At 44.6% G+C, this 19,968-nt stretch overlaps 3 annotated features.

Moving 5' to 3' along the window:
- Positions 7,567 to 8,423: an enhancer, noted in NCBI's record as "OCT4-NANOG-H3K27ac-H3K4me1 hESC enhancer chr4:53700575-53701431 (GRCh37/hg19 assembly coordinates)". NCBI's record gives its function as "activates a minimal SCP1, AML or CMV promoter by ChIP-STARR-seq in naive and primed H9 embryonic stem cells {active_cell/tissue: H9 hESC(naive and primed)}" and the evidence as "EXISTENCE:reporter gene assay evidence [ECO:0000049][PMID:30033119]".
- Positions 8,424 to 9,281: an enhancer, noted in NCBI's record as "OCT4-NANOG-H3K27ac hESC enhancer chr4:53699717-53700574 (GRCh37/hg19 assembly coordinates)". NCBI's record gives its function as "activates a minimal SCP1, AML or CMV promoter by ChIP-STARR-seq in naive H9 embryonic stem cells {active_cell/tissue: H9 hESC(naive)}" and the evidence as "EXISTENCE:reporter gene assay evidence [ECO:0000049][PMID:30033119]".
- Positions 9,820 to 10,320: an enhancer, noted in NCBI's record as "H3K27ac hESC enhancer chr4:53698678-53699178 (GRCh37/hg19 assembly coordinates)". NCBI's record gives its function as "activates a minimal SCP1, AML or CMV promoter by ChIP-STARR-seq in primed H9 embryonic stem cells {active_cell/tissue: H9 hESC(primed)}" and the evidence as "EXISTENCE:reporter gene assay evidence [ECO:0000049][PMID:30033119]".

Here is a 19,968-nt window from a genome sequence, read left to right as displayed (position 1 = left end):
CACAATGTTGTCAGGGTCCTGGCTTCATTTTCCTGCCCACCACCTTACCTGTGGCCCCCTTTCTAGTGATGTTATTTGGGGCAAGTTGCTTAATCTTTCTGAGACTCAGTTTCCTCATCTGAAGAAGAAGAGTAATTGCAATACCCATTTCACAAGGATAATGAGCAGATTAATTAAAATAATACCTGAAAAGTTCTTTGCAACAGTGTCAATACAGCAAGCCTTGGCTGTTTTTATTTGTTTTGTTCAGGACTTGTACAATGCCAGGCATATAGTTGGAGCTCAATAAATATTTGTGAATTAGTTATTATCATTATTATTGTTGCCACAAAGGACCCACAAGCGACATCAAGAGCCCACTCCATTTACATAGCACCTAGGAAGAGCCTAATTTAACCCAACTTTATTTCTGGACAACCAGTTGCCCAAGCTGGAAGGGACCTGGGGTGCAATTGTCAAAAGGCAGCTGATGGACAGCCCAGCCCACGTCGGACCGGTGGAGCCCAGGACTGCCCCAAATGCTGTGCCTCCGCCAGACCAGACGCTGCTAATGGCTTTTGTTCGTCTGCCAATTCTACTGCCCATCCTCCTCTGGGAAGAAAGAGCAGACCGGACAGAGTCCTTCAGAGGCCGACGCATGCCAGAGGCTGGGAGACTTGGAAGGGGAGTGAGGAGACAGTCAGTGGGGAAGACAGTCACTGGGGAAGACAGTTCTCAGGGATTCCGCAAGGCCCTGGAGGTGTTTCTGTCTTTGTACCGTTGGTTGCCTCTGCGCAGGCAGCCTTGCTTCATATCACCTGCACTTCCTTGCTTCTAGAGGGATTGTGGCAAGAAAGCTCGCAGAAGTCAAAACAAGCCTGGTGATATGAAAACCATATGAAAACTTGGCAGGGTCCCATTTCAGACTAATGGGCCTGCCAGACATCACCGAGCCCACAGACACTGGCCCTTTGTGAGGTCGGGGACTGGCTCCCTCACTCCCATTCTACTAAGACAGAATTAAAAAGGAAACAAGCAAGGCAGCCAGTCTCTTTTCTCTCATCCACGTGCTTCCAAGGGCTTAGAAACAGAGTAACGTCAGGTACTTTGAGTGATGAACACAGGATGTTGTTACGGGCCAGGCCCATTCACAGTGCTTTTCAGTCCTCACTTGATCTTCATGGTAGACCTTAGTCCCATTTCAAAAATGAGGTCGCTGAGGTTTCTGGGGCTCCCATAGCCCAGGTTCCACATAAAAAATGATGGAGCAGCCCAGCCAGCTGGGGTTCAGATGCAGACCCATCTGGCCAAAAACCTTGACCTTTGATTGTTACAGAGCTACCTCCCAGATGACCTTTTGATTATTTCAGACAAATTTACCAACATTCAAAATTTTGCTTCAGGGCTTAGCTTTCAGAAAAAAAAAAAAGATGTTTCCTGTTCTAGAAAGAAATCGAGACATAACATTTTTTTTTCATGACTTGTTATTGAATCTTTGGACAATACTGTAACATGCCAATTGTTATTTATACCTGAAATTCCTGTATTTCAAAGCCTGTTGGGTGTGGAGGGAGACTATTTTCCAGAGCCATCATTATTGCAGTACTAAAATTAAGTGCTCTTTTAAAGCAACTTAAAAAAATCAAAAACTGAGATAAGTGGCTGTGCAAGTATAATGACTTGTTCTTTGACTTCCCAAAGACTGGAAAAACAAGGTCGGTATGCAAATACACCTGCAGATTATAATCTGTATGTAATTTACAATTATATACACATCGATTCTATATCTTCGTGACATGGCTTCTGAAAAATAATCTGAAGATATTTTAAAGACATTTTAAAACTTGATAAACTTTTGTAAGTCTGGCAAGACCCAGGTGCTCTGAATTCCTCTCTTATGGATAGTACGGGCAGTAGGCTGGAAATTGAACCCTCTGCTAGAAGCTGCCCGGTCACTTCTGTAAATAACTTTGGCCCTGATCATTTTAGAAGACACGAGGATCTGTATCAACGCCCTCATGAAGAGACTCATGAAGGCCTCTCCCACTTAGCTGCAATGAAGGAAAGGAAGGGGGAAGGGCCAGAGTGATCAAAGGAAAGGGAGTGAAAAACCCCCTAATTGCCCATCGGCAGGGGTCTGGCTAAATGAATCACTCCACGTGCACATCCAGATGAAGGGGGTGTTGTACAGCTGGTGAGAAGATTGGCTGAATCTGTAGGGACTGATAAGGAACAATCTTTTTATTGTAAATATGTTTTATTTACAGCACATTTTTTTCAATGTAAATTTTTTAAAATGCAGGCCAGGGTATAATATTTACTGTTGTTGTTTTAAATTGGGAGTTATCTGTATCTATCTTTTTTCTCCATTTGTTTATCTATTTCAGTAGCTATATCTATAAATAAATATACTTTGAATATCTCTAGAGTGATACATAATAAACTGGTGACAGTGGTTGTTTTTGGGGAGGAAAATGAGGGGCCTGTAGATCAGAGGTAAAAAGAACATTTACTTTTCACTGGATACCCATTTATAATGTTTGAATTTTAAAACTTAAAAAATATCTTTATTATAGCTAACACTGGTTTAGCACATATTACATACCCGGTATTGCTTCACATTAATAACTTCACATTTATAGACTCATTTAATCCTCAACACACCTAAGAGGTAGGAACTATTAGGATGACCATTCTGTAGATGAGAAAACTGAGGTGCAGAGCTTATACTTCTAGCATCTGAACCGAAGTAGAGAGGTTCCAAAAATCCAATACCATATGCATGTACTGCTTTTAAAGAATGAAGTCACTATTTTTTCTCAATGTGGAAGGGAGTACTTGCAGCCACCCTCGACCCTGAGGGTGGCACCATCCCTGGCTCAGTGATTGCCAGTGTGGTCCCCAGTGATGCCAAGTAAGAAGTGGTTTGGGTGGGATTTTGTGGGAAGGTGAGGGTGGTCCATCCCTTAACCCAGTGCCCTGTTCCCCAGCTACTTGATGAAGAAGCTGGGAATTTCATTCTCCGACAGCCTTTGATCCTCATTATCTTATTGCTAAGTTTTAAACAATGTACTCTATATAAATTAGCTTTAAGCCTCCATTATGTGATTTTGCTATCCTTGTTAGATATGGGTAGCATACCAAGGAGGAGAAATCAAATGATAGCTTCTCCAGATCTCTAATGGATGGATAGAAATTGAAACCGGTCACCACAGTTTTCTTACCAAATTAAAGAAGCACGTTGTGTTCTCTAAATGAGTTCAAGCTACAGTGAGAATAGCTTTCTCTCCAAAGTCACGGTAACCCTGAATCAAGTTTGGCTCATGGGCCATCTGGCAGCAAACACCACAGTACTCTACTTATATTCAAAGCTGTACTAATTGCCTTGTTAACAGAGCTCCTCTCATGAGAATGAAATTTAACCAGAGGAATATCAAAGCGCGATTTCAAGAGAATTGCATTGGTCCAGGAACTGATAGCATTTCCAGCAACCAAGTCTCAGAAGGCCCACGGAGCAAATAAAGAACATTTTAACGGTATTGTCAGGAGGATACAACTTGTCGAGGCAGATTTGCAAACAGGAAAGGGGGCAGAGACCGTTCTTGTCTAGACATCTGATTAGTGGGAAATTGTAGGATTATGAAGAGTGTGGATTTTTCTGGCTGACATTTCTGAGGAGGTCAGGCTTTCTGCACAAAGAGGTAAATGAGAGAAACATTTGTATCTGGTAGAAAATGCTGACTGGTCCTTATCCTCCCTTGGGCTCCAGAAGCAATTCCAGACCAAGAAAAGAGATTACTAGATTGAAACCTGCTGCCACTGCTTGGCACAATGGGCAGTTGCCTGGGAGGGTTTGGGCTTGAAGACAGAGGAGAACCGCAGCTGGAGGACACAGCTCCAGACATGTCTCTCCACTCCTGCCCCTGCTTCACGCCCTTTGATCTCCAGTCCCAATTTGCTTTCTGATCATGCTGCTAGCTGATCCCCTGGACTTGAGACCTCTGTTCTGCTTAAATAACAGCCCATCTTTTGTCCCCTCACCTCTGCCCCCACCCCTTCTCACCTGCCCCAGGGCACTTCAGAAACCTCAGTACTTTCAGGGTGGAAGTTACGGGGTGGGCAGACAAATAATTTCTGCATGGTGGCCATGAAGCCAGATGAAACTGGGAGTAGGTGTGGAATGATCCCATGGGCTCGGGCAATGGGTGGGACTGTGGAGGTAATGGGTGGGTTCCAAAAGGAAATGGGCTGAGAATCAGGAGACTTGAGGTTTTAGGATAGGTTTCTCATCTCAAAGGTGGAAAAATTAATAAAACTAGTGCTGCTCCGATCCCACCTGAGTTCTTTCTGCTCAGTGCTATTAGCCATTACTGCCTGCAGCCCTGGGCCACATTCTTTTGCCATGACCTAAGACAGGCAATGTCTGTGAGAAAGCCACAGCCCAGCTCCACGACAGGAACAGACATTGCAGCGAATGCAGTCATTGGGGTTAAAAAATACAGAGAGCAATTATATCAGTCTAGTCCCACTAGGAAAACAGAAACCACTCTGTATTTAAAACAGGGAATTGATTCAAGGGAATTTGTCACACTGGTGAGGGAAGAGACAAGCAGCCAAATGGGATGATGAGACCACCTGAAATAGGCAACAGAAGGAAGCTGCGGCTACCCCACAGCTTAAGGGACAAAGCGAGGAGATGGTGTAATCAGAGCCAAGGCAGGAGTCCCAGAAAGAAACCACAACCAAAGGACAGCCACCTCACCAGCAGCTGGGGCTGCTGGGGAGCAATGGGGAGGACACCATCCAACACAAGTAAGAAAAGGGAACAGAAGCATCTTGGCTTTTCTCCTTCTGCCCTGTCCTCCAGTCTCCAGTCAGACTGCCTCCAGTCAGTGCCTCTGCCTGGCTGAACCAAGCAGGAATTGCGCTGTCATGGAGCCTGGGAAACAGCCAGGGCATGGGCAAGTTGGGGCAAGTGAGACAGAGTAAGTGAGTTGGAGATTCTGTAGAATACTCTCCCAGCATCTGCTGCTTTTCCCTCTGCAACAACCAGAACTAAACCGCAAAACAAAATATTTGTGCCATTATTAGTTGAATGTCTTCTTCCCCTTGCCCTAGCCCTGCAAACTCAGCTCCATGAGGACAGGGATGGAGTCAGCTTTATTCCTTGTTATATCCCCAGCATCTAGCACAGTAAGAGGTCCTTGGTGGCTTCATTTACAATGTTGGTTACAAATAACTGAGTGAATGAATTGTTGTGTACTGTCCATCTTGCAAACAATTGATTCTTAGAGTAGGCTTGTGGGATTTTAGATATAGTGGAAGTAGCACTTAGACTCACCACAAGCTCTGAAAGGACTAGATCACCCAGCCCCTGGGATGGCACTCCTGAGAGCTCAACTGCATTCAACTTCAGCAAAAGATCTTAGAATGTAAATAGATGTAACTCCATTACCAGGAGTTACTGGTACTTAATACTACTCAATAACTATCACATTTTATAAACTGTAAAATGATGCTTTAATGTTAGAGATTATAGTAAAAAGTATTACTCTTTGCATGGGTAAGCCCACATTCTATATCTGCTTAAAATGGCAGTGAAGAATTTTAGAGTTTTTCCTTTTTAAGACCTGTTAACACTGGGGCACAGATAGAATTTCCAGGTGAGAATTTAAGCCATTTGGTCACAGGAAGAAAGAATGAAGGATAAGATGAGAAATTGTGTAGAGATAAATATTCAAATTGAGAAAAGAAAAGGCAGCATGGAGGAGCTTATACATTTCAGGAAAAGAGGAGCAAAGGTTGTGCAAGGAATGGAATGACCTAGAAACCACAGTTGCAGTGGATGCTGAGAGCTGTGTGATCAGAAATCAGTGAGAAGTGAATAAAGCAAATGCCAGTTAGGGCAAAAGCACCATTGAAACTTGACGGAAAGAGTTTTATTAAACCAGAAGGTGACTAACAAGTTGATGACCCTAACGAACAACCACAACAATAATAACTAACATCTGTTTATTGCTGACAATGTGCCATGTAGCCAGCTAATCCACCAATTCTCTGGACAACCATGTAAAGTAGATACTATTATTTTCCCATTTCACTTGCAGGAAACTAGAAGATATCTCTGTGTGTGTGTGTATGTGCGCACGCGCGTGCGTGCATGTGTGTGTCTGTGTGTGATTTTGTTTTGGTTTTGTAACATCTGCTCCCCATTCCTAACCATGCTCTGGATTCTTTTTGAGGAAAGTAGTAACTGGTTTCTAAGATGGCCACTGAACTTCACTTTCTGATATTCACGCTCTTGACAGTCCCCACCCACAATGAATGGGGCTGATCTGTGTAATCAAAAAGAGATTGTAGAAAGAGTGGTATATGTCATAAAAGACAAGGTTGCATCCACCTTGCTCTTTTGGATCACTCACCCTGGGAACTAGCTGCTGTGTTATGGGGAACTCAAGAAGTCCCACAGAGAGGCCCAAGCGCTGAGAAACTGAGGCCTCCTGCCAACAGCCAGCGCCAGCTTGCTAGCCATGTGAGGGAGACACCTATGAAGCAGAACTTCTGCCCCCAGTCCAGCTCTCAGATGGCTGCAGCCACCCACTGACAGTTTGACTACCACCTCATGAGGGCCCCCAATCCAAAATTCCCTGGCAAAGCCACTCCTGCATTCCCACACACAAACTGTGTGAGATAATAAGTGTTTGTTGTTTTCTTAGGTTGCCGAGTTTTGGAGTAATTTGTTATGTAGCAACAGATTAAAAAATATGGTGTTATTTTCTTTTCATATATATAATTTTTATTTTTAATTTTTGTGGGTACAGAGTAGGTGTATGTATTTGTGGGGTACATGAGATGTTTTGAAACAGGCATGCAATGTGAAATAATCATGGAGAATGGGGTATCCATCCCCTCAAGGATTTATCCTTTGAATGCAATCCAATTATATTATTTTAGTATTTTATTTTATTTTATTTATTTTATTTTATTTTATTTTATTTTATTTTATTTTATTTTATTTTATTTTATTTATTTTATTTTATTTTATTTTATTGAGATGGAATCCTACTTTGTCACCCAGGCTGGAGTGCAGTGGCGTGATCTTGGCTCACTCCAGCCTCTGCCTCTCGGGTTCCAGCGATTCTGCTGCCTCAGCCTCCTGGGTAGCTGGGATTACAAGCACGTGCCACCACAGCCAGCTAATTTTTATATTTTGAGTAGAGACAGGATTTCAATATGTTGGCCAGGCTGGTCTTGAACTCCTGACATCAGGTGATCTGCCCACCTCGGCCTCCCAAAGTGCTAGGATTATAGGCTTGAGCCACTATGCCCAGCCTCTCTTAGTTATTTTTAAATGTAAAATTAAATTATCATTGTCTATAGTCACCCTGTTGTGCTATCAAATACTAGGCCTTATTCATTCATTCTAACTATTTTTTGTACCCATTAAAGGAGTTATTTTCTTCATTTGATCCAAAGAGGAGGTGCATGACCTGAGCTAGACCAAGCCCACCCTTTCCTGTTAGAATTTCAGCAGAGTAAGAATGGCTGGGGCTTATTCATCCTGATGAGACTTTTTCTGTTAAAGACTTTTCCTTATTGATCTTGCCTCCTAGTTCTCTAGAATACCTTCACACCTGCCTATTTTGGAGCTGGTCCTCCTGGCTTTCACTCGCGTCCGTGTGAAGAGACCACCAAACAGGCTTTGTGCGAGCAATAAAGCTGTTTATTTCACCTGGGTGCAGGTGGGCTGAGTCCGAAAAGTGAAGGGAGATAGGGGTGGGGCCGTTTTATAGGATTTGGGTAGGTAAAGGAAAAAGGAGGGTTGTTCTCTGGCAGGCAGGAGTGGGGTGCTCAGCAGGGGAGCTTTTGAGACAGGATGAGCCAGGAGAAGGAATTTCACAAGATAATGCCATCAGTTAAGGCAGGAACAGGCCATTTTCATTTCTTTTGTGATGGAATGTCATCAGTTAAGGCAGGAACCAGCCACCTGGATGTGTACGTGCAGGTCACAGGGGATATGATGGCTTAGCTTGGGCTCAGAGGCCTGACACTGGCTTCCCATTAATTCTGCAAGCACCGAATATCCTTCAATGCATTTCCTTTTGCTTCAGTTAAGCACAAGCAGTGGAGTGAGAAAACTGGGTTCAAATCCCAGTTCCACCACTGACTGCAGTCTTGGACAAGTTGCTTGAGCTCTCTGTACTTCCATTGCTTCCTCTTTGACAAGTGTGTATAATAATAAGACATACGGGTATGTGGCTCACAGGGTTATCAGAAGGATCAATAAGTTAGTACTTAGCAAGCACTCAGAATATGGCCTATCACATAAAGAGCAGCAGGAAGCATTTGCTGTTATTGAAACCAATGAATACTACTCACCAGAACAGCCCAGGGAAGCACTGAGGTCGCTGACTAGTCAAGAGTGCAGAACCTCCAAGATTTGAGCCCCGCCTGGATTGCCTGATTTCACGTCTCTAGACCTTTAATCACTCCTAGGTAATAGCAGCACAGCTTGGCTGGAGCACAGTGCTAAGATATCCTCTTGTAATTATGCCAAAATTCACTTTTAACATGAGTCAGGCAGTGGCTCTCAGCTTGCTTTAGCAGGGTTATACCCAATCCACCCCCACACCAAAAAGGGAGCTTCTCCCCTTGTCTGTGGTCATTCCCATCTCTATCACACATTCTGATCTCTCACTCCAACTGTGAAGAACAGCCACTGGCTGTCTTCTACCTCTTACCTTTCCTCATCTACCTAGTTTTCATACCACACCTGGATGCTGATGAATAGATTTCTCTTGCTTACCTTGTTATTTTACTGGGAGTGGATGGGCAGATTGAATGAGGAAAGTAGTCCAAAGAGGAGCTGACAGGTGCCTTTGGACAAACAAGCAAGTGATATAGGTTACTGGGAAGTCACCCAAGATAGGGCAGAGTAGACCACTGCAATCCAAAGCCACCTTAATAGGCCAGAGAAAATGCATGAGAAAGTGGGAAGAGTGTGTGGGCAACAGAATTAAGAGTCCAGGCCCCCCGCCTGATTAACAAGAGCAGGATTTTTGTAAGTTCCAAGATTCACAGGGATATAAGGACTCATTCCTTCTTTCCACATATATTTACTGAGCATCTACTATGTACCAGGTACTGTGCTAGGTACTGAGGATGCGTCAGTGAACAAAGCAAAGTGACTGTCCTCACAGAGTGGCATTGCAGTGATAGAGATGGATAAAGTTAAATATATAGTTTGTTAGGTGATCACTAAGAAGAAAAGAATAACAGAAATGTCTTAGAAACAGAGCCTGAGACAGGGATTCAGGGCAGCTGATTTAGTTTTTAGGGTGTTTGTTTGTTTGTTTTGTTCTTGTTTTTGTTTTTGTTTTTTGAGACAGAGTTTCACTCTTGTCGCCCAGGCTGGAGTGCTATGGCACAATCTCAGCTCACTGCAACCCCCGCCTCTGGATTCAGGTGATTCTCCTGCCTCAGCCTCCCAAGTAGCTGGGACTAGAGGCGCCTGCCACCATGCCAGGCTAATTTTTTTTTTTTTGTATTTTTAGTAGAGACGGGGTTTCACCATGTTTGCCAGGCTGGTTTCAAACTCCTGACCTCAGGTGATCTGCCTGTCTCAGCCTCCCAAAGTGCTGGGGTTACAGGCATGAATCACCATACCCAGCCCTGATTTAGTTTTGAGGGAGAGCTCTCAGATGAAAAAGAGTGAAGGAAGGAATCAAGGAGTGAATGGGAAAAAAGCCAAACAAGATGTGGTCTTAGGTCTGATCCACAGGGACTCTGGAATATTCACATAACACTGCAGAATTCTCCCCCTTCCCCTTAAGGTGAAGGAAGCGGCCTTTTGTGTTCCGGTATCTTTCCATCACTGGCTGCAGGCTGCCCTAGCGTGGGTGCAGAAGGGAATGTGATTTCCCATCAAGGCAGTACCTGTTAGTTGAGTGAAATTCTCCAGGGAAGCAGGACATCTGGGAGTCTTTGGCAGCTGATCTTCACAGCAGCTCAGGGTGGGTGCACTGGGAGGAAAAGATTCTGGATGGAGCAACTGCCATGTCTACCTCAGGAGGAGGGGTTACAACATACCAGTAGGAGGTAACATTTTACATCGGATGGACAGGGGACCTCACTGAGAAGGTGGCTTCAAGAAATGCCTAAAGGAAGTGAGAGCACCCATTGTGTGGCCAATGGGGAGAAGTTGTGTGTTGAGAGGTGGGGGTTGTCCGTAGGCAGGAATGGCAGGTGCAAAGTCTCTGATGTGGCAGTGGTCTTGGCATGCTAAAGAAAAAGCAAGGAGGCTGGAGTGGAGGAATGAGAGACAGGCAAAGAAGACGCAGTGTGCAATGTAATGAAGAAGAAGGCAAGAAAAGCATATGACACTTGTAAATCAGAACCTGGACTGTACATTCCTTCTGAGAGTTAAGAAGCCACTGGAAGATTCTGAGCAGAGGGTTGACATGATTGCACTTTTATCTAGCAGGTTTATTCTTGGCTCCCATGTTGACAGTAGACCAAAGAGGCCAAGAGTGGAAGTGGGAGGCCAATTATAAGGTTATTGAAATAATCCAAGTGAGAGAAGTTAGCACTTGGACCAAGGTAGTGGTGGTGAAGGGTGATCAAATTCTGGAAATATTTTGATAGGTGAGCCAAGAAGAGTTTTTTTGAGAGTCTGAATGTCGGGTTTGAAAGAAAGAGAAAAGTCGAGAATGGTTCCAAGTTTTCGGACCTGACGTCTAAGAAGACAGTTTTCATCTACTGAGATGGGAAAGCTGGAACTGAGCTATCTTCAAGGGATTGATTAGAAGTAGTTTTAGACATGCTGAGTTCGAGATGTCCATTGGACATCCAAGAGAAAATGCCAAGTAGATACTTTAATAAAAATGTGGAAGTCCTAAGTGAAAAGATGTCACTCAAAAATATGAGATCATATAGGGAGTGAGTAAAGATTTTTTAAAAAGAGAGAAAAGAGATCCAAAAATATTTGTCCAGTGAAGCATGGCTGGGCTTGAGGCACCCCGCCAGCCATAGGGGTGTCTTCCCAATGACCTACGCGAGGTCCACTTTTGTGTCCCCAGAGCACTCACCTATGATGGGGTCACAGGGTGTGTCATAATTCCCAGAAGCCCCACCCTTGGAGCATCAGATTATATTTCAGAATCATAAATATAGAGATATTTAAATAATACCTGTATCAAAACCCTACATTTTCAAGAAAGATCAAGTAGAGGGTGATAGTTGATAGTAGGTTTTGTAAATGAGTCACCACAGACGTGCTAACAGTCAAGCTCCACATACATCCTTCTTGTGCATTTCAAACAGAATCCTGTTTATAAAAATAAGACACCAGCTTTTTATCAGTGCACCTGTTGTTTAAAAGTTCTCCTGTCCCCGGATTTAAATACTCAATGGTCATCTTCTCAGACCACCCCCAGGGAATGACATTTGCTAAGTTGCCCATCAAGGCCCTCCTTGCCTGTGAGGAAGACAAAGACAGAGCAGAGAGGAAGAAAGTGAGCTTTCTCTGCTTCTGGGATCATGTTCCCCAACCCTAGGTGTGACTCCAGCCTGTCACCGAAGCCTGGTCATGTGCAGATGGAGATGCACTATCCCAAGAAGACACTAAAGAGAAGTGCCCTTGCAAAAATGACTCTGTATAGTATTCCATCATATCTATCTGTCTGTCTATCTATCTATCTATCTATCTATCTATCTATCTATCTATCTATCTATCTGTCTATCTATCCCACAATTTCTTTATTCACTCATGGTGGTTGATGGGCATTTGGGCTGGTTCCATATTTTTGCAATCACGAATTTTGCTGCTATAAACATGCATGTTTATAGCATGTGGCCAAATACCACCTGTTTCCCAAAAACCTATGGAAATAAAATTTTTTTAAAAAAGAATAAAAGTTAAAATTTTAAAAATTACTCTGATCTGGAAACTTTTCCTAAGCACCTGGGCTATGGTAGCAAAAACACTGGACTGAGGGCCCTCCCCATCTAAGTTCTGCCATGAGTCAGCGAGGTAATTTTGGGTGATGTTTAATTTACTTGTTCTTCATCCCCTCATCTATAAAATGCAGATTTGAATGCCGCATAAGGTTGTTCTGAAGATTAAAAGAATTGAAATGTGTAAAGTACAAAGAAGGATATTTGTCATAAAATAAGTTATTATATTTTATGTTATGGTAATAATATCACTGTTAGTTACTATTATTATTATTAATTATTATTATTGAATGGACTCTGTGCCAACAAGCTTTGTGACCTCAGGCAAGTCAGCTCACCTTTCAAAGCCCTGCCTTTTGAGGCACTCTTGCTTCCCATGGAAGTCAGTGAATAGCCCTCCATTCCAGGCTCCAGGATGGGGCACAACCCCACCAGTGCACATTCAGGAAGTCATATGTATGGGAAATACAATGGTACCATCAGAAGGGGGATGACTGCCATGGGAAAGGTCTGCCATTGCACCTCCTACACTCTGCCTTTTCCCACTGGAAGAACAATGTCTCTTCCACTTCCCCACTGTTCTCCCTTGCACCCTGGATCCCTGGAAGAGCTGTACAAAGTGCTCTGAACATCCTAGACTAGTGTTGTCTGTGTCTACAGTTTCAAGAATACTACCACATTTCATCGACTTTATTCCAGGAAACAGATTCCATAATCAATGAAAAGGCCCAAACTTCTGAGAAAGAGTTTTTCTTGTTACAACATTTGTAGAGTCTTGCTTATGTTTGAATCCCCCTACTGATCACTGTTTTGGCAAGACTGGGTGCATCTTGCCAAGTTGGAAGGGAATTGTTCACGGGTTGCTCATGGGAGACATCAGGTGCCTGGGGCTTTGCCAATGTGGGAAGAGAAAAAGGAGAAAGGAAGAGGAAGGGGAGTCCTTGGCTAGTGGCCAGGATCAGAATGAACTTAACTGAGGCATGTAGGACCCCAGGGCAAGCTAATCATTTGGCCCCTGACTCAATTAGAAATTGGATTTAGTTGCTAGCATCAGAAACCTGAGTGTGGTACCTTCAGGAAGAGGCTTATTCCTCTCCTACATAAAAGAAATCTAGAGGGTTTCTGTAGTGGCTCTATAAACTCAAAAGGGACTGAGGTTCCTTTTAGCTTTCTGGTCCACCAACCTAGTTCATTGCTTTCCTTCTTGAAGGTTGTCTCGTGATCCAGTATAGCTGCTAGTAGCTCCAGCCATTACATTCACATTCCAGGCAGCATGAAGGAGGAACCAAGGAAGGGCAAAAAAAGTATTCACATCCTCTACATTTTATAAAGCCTTCCCAGCAGTCCTATACAAAAATTCTGCTTACATCTCCGTGGTGAGAGCTCAGACGCACAAGCACACCTAGATACAGAGGAGACTGTGCTACGTGAGGAGACACTGACAGTGATTTGAGGGAAATAGGAAGAATGGGGAGTATTCGTAGCAGCTCAGCTTCCATTTTATTGTCCCCAACAACTCTGCTCTGGCCCCCAACTTGCATACCTGCCTAGCAAAAAAGGAAGCACTTTGTAAGTCACCATATTTACTACCCCTTGTTACTCAAATACTCCCCAGAAAATGTCAGAACATTTTTTCCAGACATATTATACTATATTCTCCTAGAGAGAAATTCTAGTAAATAGAGTTGGTTCCACGTTGGCACATTTCCAAGGATGCTTTAGCTTCACAGCAATGTTTAAACTCCCTTCAAAGACTGGTGGTTCAGGTACAGAAAGAGAAATGTCACATGTTCTCACTCATATGTGAAAGCTAAAAATGTGGATCTCATGAGCAGAATGATCATTACCGGAGGTTGTGAAGGGTGAAGAGGGGAATGAAGCAAGCATGGTTAATAGGTACAAACATACAGTTAGACAGAAGGAATAAGTTCTAGTGTTGGGTAGCACAGTAGGGTGACTATAGTTAACAATGATTTATTGCATATTTCAAAATAGCTAGGAGATGTGAAATGTTTCCAACACAAAGAAATGATAAAAGTTTCAGATGACAGTGTTCTCACTCATAGGTGGGAATTGAACAATGAGAACACTTGGACACAGGGTGGGGAGCATCACACTCTGGGGCCTGTCGTGGGGTGGGAGGAGGGGGGAGGGATAGCATTAGGAGAAATACCTAAGGTAAATGATGAGTTAATGGGTGCAGCACACCAGCATGGCACATGTATACATATGTAACAAACCTGCACATTGTGCACATGTACCCTAGAACTTAAAGTATAACAACAACAAAAAAAAGTTTGAGATGACGGATATCCTAATTACCTGACCTGATTGTTACACATTGTATGCATGTATCAAAATATTACATGTATCCCATAAACATGTACAATTATTATGCATCAATAAAAAAAGAAACCATAGATTTTTCAACACTTTCAAGTTTCCAGCCCTTTAATAATAGGTCTGCACAAAGTTAGCCCTCATCTGAATTCTTCCATTTTCAGATAAGGAGAAGTTTCACAATTTTAGAATATTAACAGTCTAAGGTATCTTGGAAACCCCACCTAGTCACTCAGTTATCAATAATAACTTATATCGCATACATAAATTATCATTATTATTATTGCTGGTAATAAGGTAAATAAATTTGGAAGAAAAAAGATTTGTGGCCTGTGAAGTTACCTGGCTGATGCACTCATAAGTCTGACACTGACTAGCAGACCTAGAGTCTAATTTGTTTTTTTTATTTTTTATTTTTATTTTTATTGTTTTAGATGGAGTCTTGCTCCATTGCCAGGCTGTAGTGCAGTGGCACAATGTCTGCTCACTGCAACCTCGGCCTCCCGAGTTCAAGCAGTTCTCCTGTCTCAGCCTCCCGAGTAGCTGGGATTACAGGCATGCACCATCACACCTAGCTAATTTTTGTATTTTTAGTAGAGATGGGGTTTCACCGTGTTGACCAGGATGGTCTTGATCTGCTGACCTCGTGATTGCTTGCCTCAGCCCCCCAAAGTGTTGGGATTACAGGCATGGGCCACTGCACCTGGCAGATTCTAGTTCTTGCAATGGTACTGTCTGTCTGGATCCTTTATGCATTCAACAAATATTTGTCAAACATCTGTATTAGTCAGGTTTCTCCAGGAAGACAGAACCAATAGTATAAATATATAGATATCTGAGATGAGCTTTTAAAACATTTATTTATTTATTTATTATCTGTCTTAGAGGTAGGATCTCCCTATGTTGCCCAGGTGGGTCTTGAACTACTGGGTTCAAGCAATCTGCCCACCTTGGCCTCTCAAAATGTTGGCCTTACAGGTGTGAGCCACTGCATCCAGTCCATTTTTATTTATTTAGAGACTGGTCTCACTCTGCTGCCCAGGCTGGAGTGCAGTGGCACAATCATAGCTCACTGCAGCCTTGAACTCCTGGGCTCAAGCAGTCCTCCCACCTCAGCCTCCCGAGAGGCTATGGCTACAGGAATGTACCACCACACCCAACTAATTTTTAAATTTTTTCTAGAGATGGAGTTCCCTTTGTTGCCCTGGCTGGTCTCAAACTCCTGGCCCCAAGTGATCCTCCTGCCTTGGCATCCCAAAGTGTTGGGATTACAGGCATGAGTCACTGCGCTCGGCTAAGAGGGAATTTATTCGGGGAATTGGCTCACGTAATTATAGAGGCTGAGAAGCTCCATAACAGGCCATCTGTAAGCTGAAGACCCTGGATACTGGATGCTGGGAAGCTGAGCTTATGGCTCAGCTCAAGTTTGAAGGCCTCAGAACCAGGGAAGTAGATGGTGTAATTCTCAGTTTGAGGCTAAGGGAATGAGAACTCAGGGGTTCACTGATGTAAGTCCTAGAGTCCAAAGGCTGGAGAGCCTGGAGTTTTTGTCCAAGAACAGGAGAAGAAGAGTGTATCCCAGCTCCAGCAGATGGATAGACACATTTGCCTTGTCTCTGTTTTTGTTCTTTCTGGGTCCCCAGACAATTGGATGGTGCCCACCTCACTGAGAGCAAATCTTCCCCACTCAGTCCGCTCAGACTGTCATGTTAATCTCCTCTGGAAACATCCCCAAGGACACACCCAAAATTATGCTTTATCAAGTTTGTAGATATTCCTTAATTCAGTCAAGTTGATGTCTACAATAACCATCACAACATCTAACCTACCCAAGGCATTACATAGGACATTGTGACCCCAAGAACCAACACAAGCAATGACACTGCCCTCATGGTGCTCACAGTCCAGTGGGGGTCATAGACAATTCACATGCATGGTGTAGGGTGCTGAGGGGTGGAGTGTGAGGCTCCCCAGTACCTCACTGGTAGATCTTTGACCTCCAAGTTGGGAGCTGAAGGTCAAGTAGAAGTTATTCTGATTGTGAATAACAATGAAGTCACAAGATTAGAGGACAAAAGATCATCTGGTCACAGTGCAGAGAATGAATTGGGGAGGGGCAGGTGTAGAGGCAGGGAGACCAGGGAGGAGGCTGTTATTTTGCTTTACCCAGGAGAACAGAGGAGAGGCCGAGGCAGTGTGGGTGGAGAGAAGGGAGTGTGCCCAAGAGCTGTTGTGGAGGTGGCATCAAGAGAAGTTAGTAACTGGCTAATCAGGATGATCTGATCAAGATGGCAGGAGGGGTTTAAACATGATGATGATATGTCACAGAGCTGGATAATACAGGGTGACAGGCCAGGACCTGGGACCACACTATCCATGGAGGCCAGTGACCCAAAGCCTACCCGTCTTCCTGCACCATGAGGAGCCCAACAAGTGGCACTCCAGTCTGCACAGCCAAGCTCCGCCAATGCCCCATCCACACTAAGAACTGCCCCTGCAGCAGATGGCACCCTCCAGAGGACAAACCAGTGCCAGAGGCCTGCATAGGCCCTGTAAGAAGCCTGGAGCTGTTTGGGCAGGGAATTCTGGGGTCCTGGAGCATAAACATAGTTGAGGGGTTGGTGTGGAAGGTGATGGGATGTTCCTGTGGAAAGGGGCACAGCCAGAAGAGAAAAGAATGGGGGCCTCAATGTCCCCCATTCTGGGCAGGGTCCCAGAAACCCAGGCTAAGGGCAGTACTGCAGGGAGAAAGCCAGATAGGGAAAGACACTGAGCTTAGTTCTGGACAGGCTGTGTTTGAAAGACCTGTGGACATGCCCAGAAGGTAGTCAGAGATTGTCATTCTGGAGCTCAGGAAAGTATGTCTCATCACATTCCCTGCACTCAGTGTCACCCGTATAAAGCAGGACACTCCTGGGCTGTGTGATGTGGTGTTGAGGTCTTCCTTCCTGCTCCAGCACTCTCTGCACCATAAACCCGCTCCCCCCACCTCACTGCCTGGCCACGTGGGAACCAAGCATGGGGAAGCCTGTCCCAGAGGCCCACCCTAGCCCTATCCACCAAATTCTTGTGATCAGTTTAACTACACAACAAAATTCAGATCAGAGTGAGGATTAGCCGAGGTAGTTTGTGAACAGTGCTTTGAACTTCACAGATGAAAGCCTCCTGACTTCCCCCGTTCACACAAAGATAGCCCAAGGTATTAAACGTGACGTAAACACATTGCCACCCCCTGGCTTCTCCACCCGATGCTAGGAGACTTTGCAGCTGGCTGGGTGATCAGTCAGCGTCCCAAATTGCCTTCCCCTGTGGCATTCCACTCAGGTCTCCCAGAGGGGGGAAATGGATTCTGTCCTCAGCCCACTGCTCCTGGAATTGCAAGCATTCGGTGAGGCTGGCCCCCACCCCTGGCTTCTCCAGGGCTCCTGCATGCAGAGCAGTGCTGCAGAGGACCATGGTACATGGACTTCCCCTCCACTATCCATCTCAGAGTGCACAGCTCAGGGCCAGAGACGAGGGGCAGAGCCAGGAGGGAGGCAGAGCAGCCCTCAGCATGGCCTGGCCTGCTGCTCGAGGTTATTGTTCCCAGATGGAGATTGTCAAACCCTGTCAGCCTCAGATACACACTGAGAGTGCTATATCCGCATTCCTGGAATGTGTGGCGGCCCCAGCTTCACCTTCTACAGCCTTTGATTCAATAACATGTCAAGTCCCTTCAGCCTCACCAGAGCTAAAACTTTCTCATCCACTCACTGCCTCTGCACACAGGCATTGTGGCTGTCTAAATATTTAAGCTGGGCCAAGGGGAGGTATATTTAGTCTGGATTGATTACGCTAGTTGTTTAAGCCAACTGGATCTCACCTGCTCATGTCAGTTTCATGATGAGCTCTGGAAGCCAAAGGCTGTTGGCTGTGCTTGTTGGGCCTTAGAACTGAGTATCATGACTGCTGTCCCAGGGGTTGGCTGCCTACAGGGCCAGGGGGAAGGAGCATGGCAATTTGGCTGGTTGCTCTTTAGTGTATGGCGTGGCTGCCGGCACCACAAAAGGCCTTAGCCAGAGACTTCTGGGGGTATCCTGGTGCCCTTCATTCTCCACTCGGCACACCCGGGCCATCACACAGACCCCTCCACACCAGTCCTGGCATTGCCTGCTAGCATTGTGATGCTGCTCCCGCCTGGTAGACCCTTTCTACAATGAGTCTATTCCCTTTGACTGATCTGAAAGAAATTGAATCTGCGAGTCATGAGGGTAATTGTGGGGACAGATGAGGATACCTGGGCCCAGGGATGAAAAGCAGTTTGCTTAGGATCACACAGCAGTTGGTGATGCAGCTGTATCTATAATTCTGGACCTTCGACTTTCCAGCTATCATGGGTCACATTGTGTCTTCTAAAAAGGCACGTTGAAATCCTAACTCCTGGTACTTGTGAATATGACCTTATTTGGAAATAAGGTATTTGCAGATGCAATCAAGTTGCAATGTGGTCATTAGAGCAGACCCTAACCCAATATGATTGGTTTCCTTATAATAAGAGGGAAATTTGGACACAGACATACACAGAGGGAAGACAGCCCATATGAAGAAGGAGGCAGACATTAGGGCTATGCAGCCAGAAGCCAGGGAACACCTGGATGAAGCCTCCATGAACTGGAAGAGGCAAGGAGGGATCCTCCCCTAGAGGCTTTGGAGGGAGTGTGGCCCTGCCCACCATCTTGATTTTAGACTTCTAACGTCCAGAACTGTGAGAGAAGGAATTTCTGGTGTTTTATGCCACCCAGTTTGTGGCATTTTGTTACAGCAGTCCTAGAAAACTCATACCATCCAATAGTGTCTCTGATACAAGAACTGGGTGAAATTCTAGAAAATGCGGTTCCTTGGAAGTGATGAGAGACAGCTCATTGTGGTTTCAGATTCAAGAGTACCTAGCAGGTCATGTTTAATATGTGAGTCATCTCTGAGGAGAACTTGATGTTCTGTGTTTCCTGTTACCTGAGAAAAGCTCTCCATCAAGGCCCAGTGATATGGACTCCTTCTCTCCTCCTAAAGTTTAATTTGTGGATTAATGTGAAATCATCCTTCTGATGATTTCATGTATGTGGCCTTCCCATCTGAGGTATTTCAACACACTTACCAAATACCGTGACCCTTAGGAGTGGCCTCTGGGGTTAGGAATTCCTGCTTTGCATCTGCCCTTTAACCTCCCCTAGTCCGAATGCCTTCATTAAACTGAGTCATTTAGTTTTGTGAATTCAGAAAAAATGAAAAGAGCTGGCATAGAAAACACTAGGGCTCTAGCTTTGGACTGACTGTGGGCTGTGGGTTTGGTCAAATAGGGCTTTGCAATTGACCTCAATGTTTATCCCAATTCTCAAGGCACAGAGATTATGAGCTGGCAATTTTCCGAGAATCCATTAGTCAACTCCTTGAGTCTGTGATGATGTTTCTTACAAGGCAATTAGCAGGTTTTTTCGTCCAGGGAGAGGTGTGTTCATGCCCTGACACCCAGCAATGCCAGTCCAAGAGAACCCTCATGCCTGTGGCCTTCTGCCAGCCTCACACATCAGCTGAGGTTGGCTCCCCAAACCCTAGGTCTCCTGGTTGTATCACTTTGGGAATAACCATACAAATAAATATGTTCCATTTTTGTGACTCACTGCCCCTCGCTGAAGCTTCTTGTTTACTATGGAAGAG

The sequence above is a fragment of the Homo sapiens genome, chromosome 4, assembly GCF_000001405.40.
Source record: "Homo sapiens chromosome 4, GRCh38.p14 Primary Assembly".
NCBI classification, from domain to species: Eukaryota; Metazoa; Chordata; class Mammalia; order Primates; family Hominidae; genus Homo; species Homo sapiens.
Note: the sequence above shows the minus strand (reverse complement) of the source record. Positions and strands in the feature narration are given on the sequence as shown.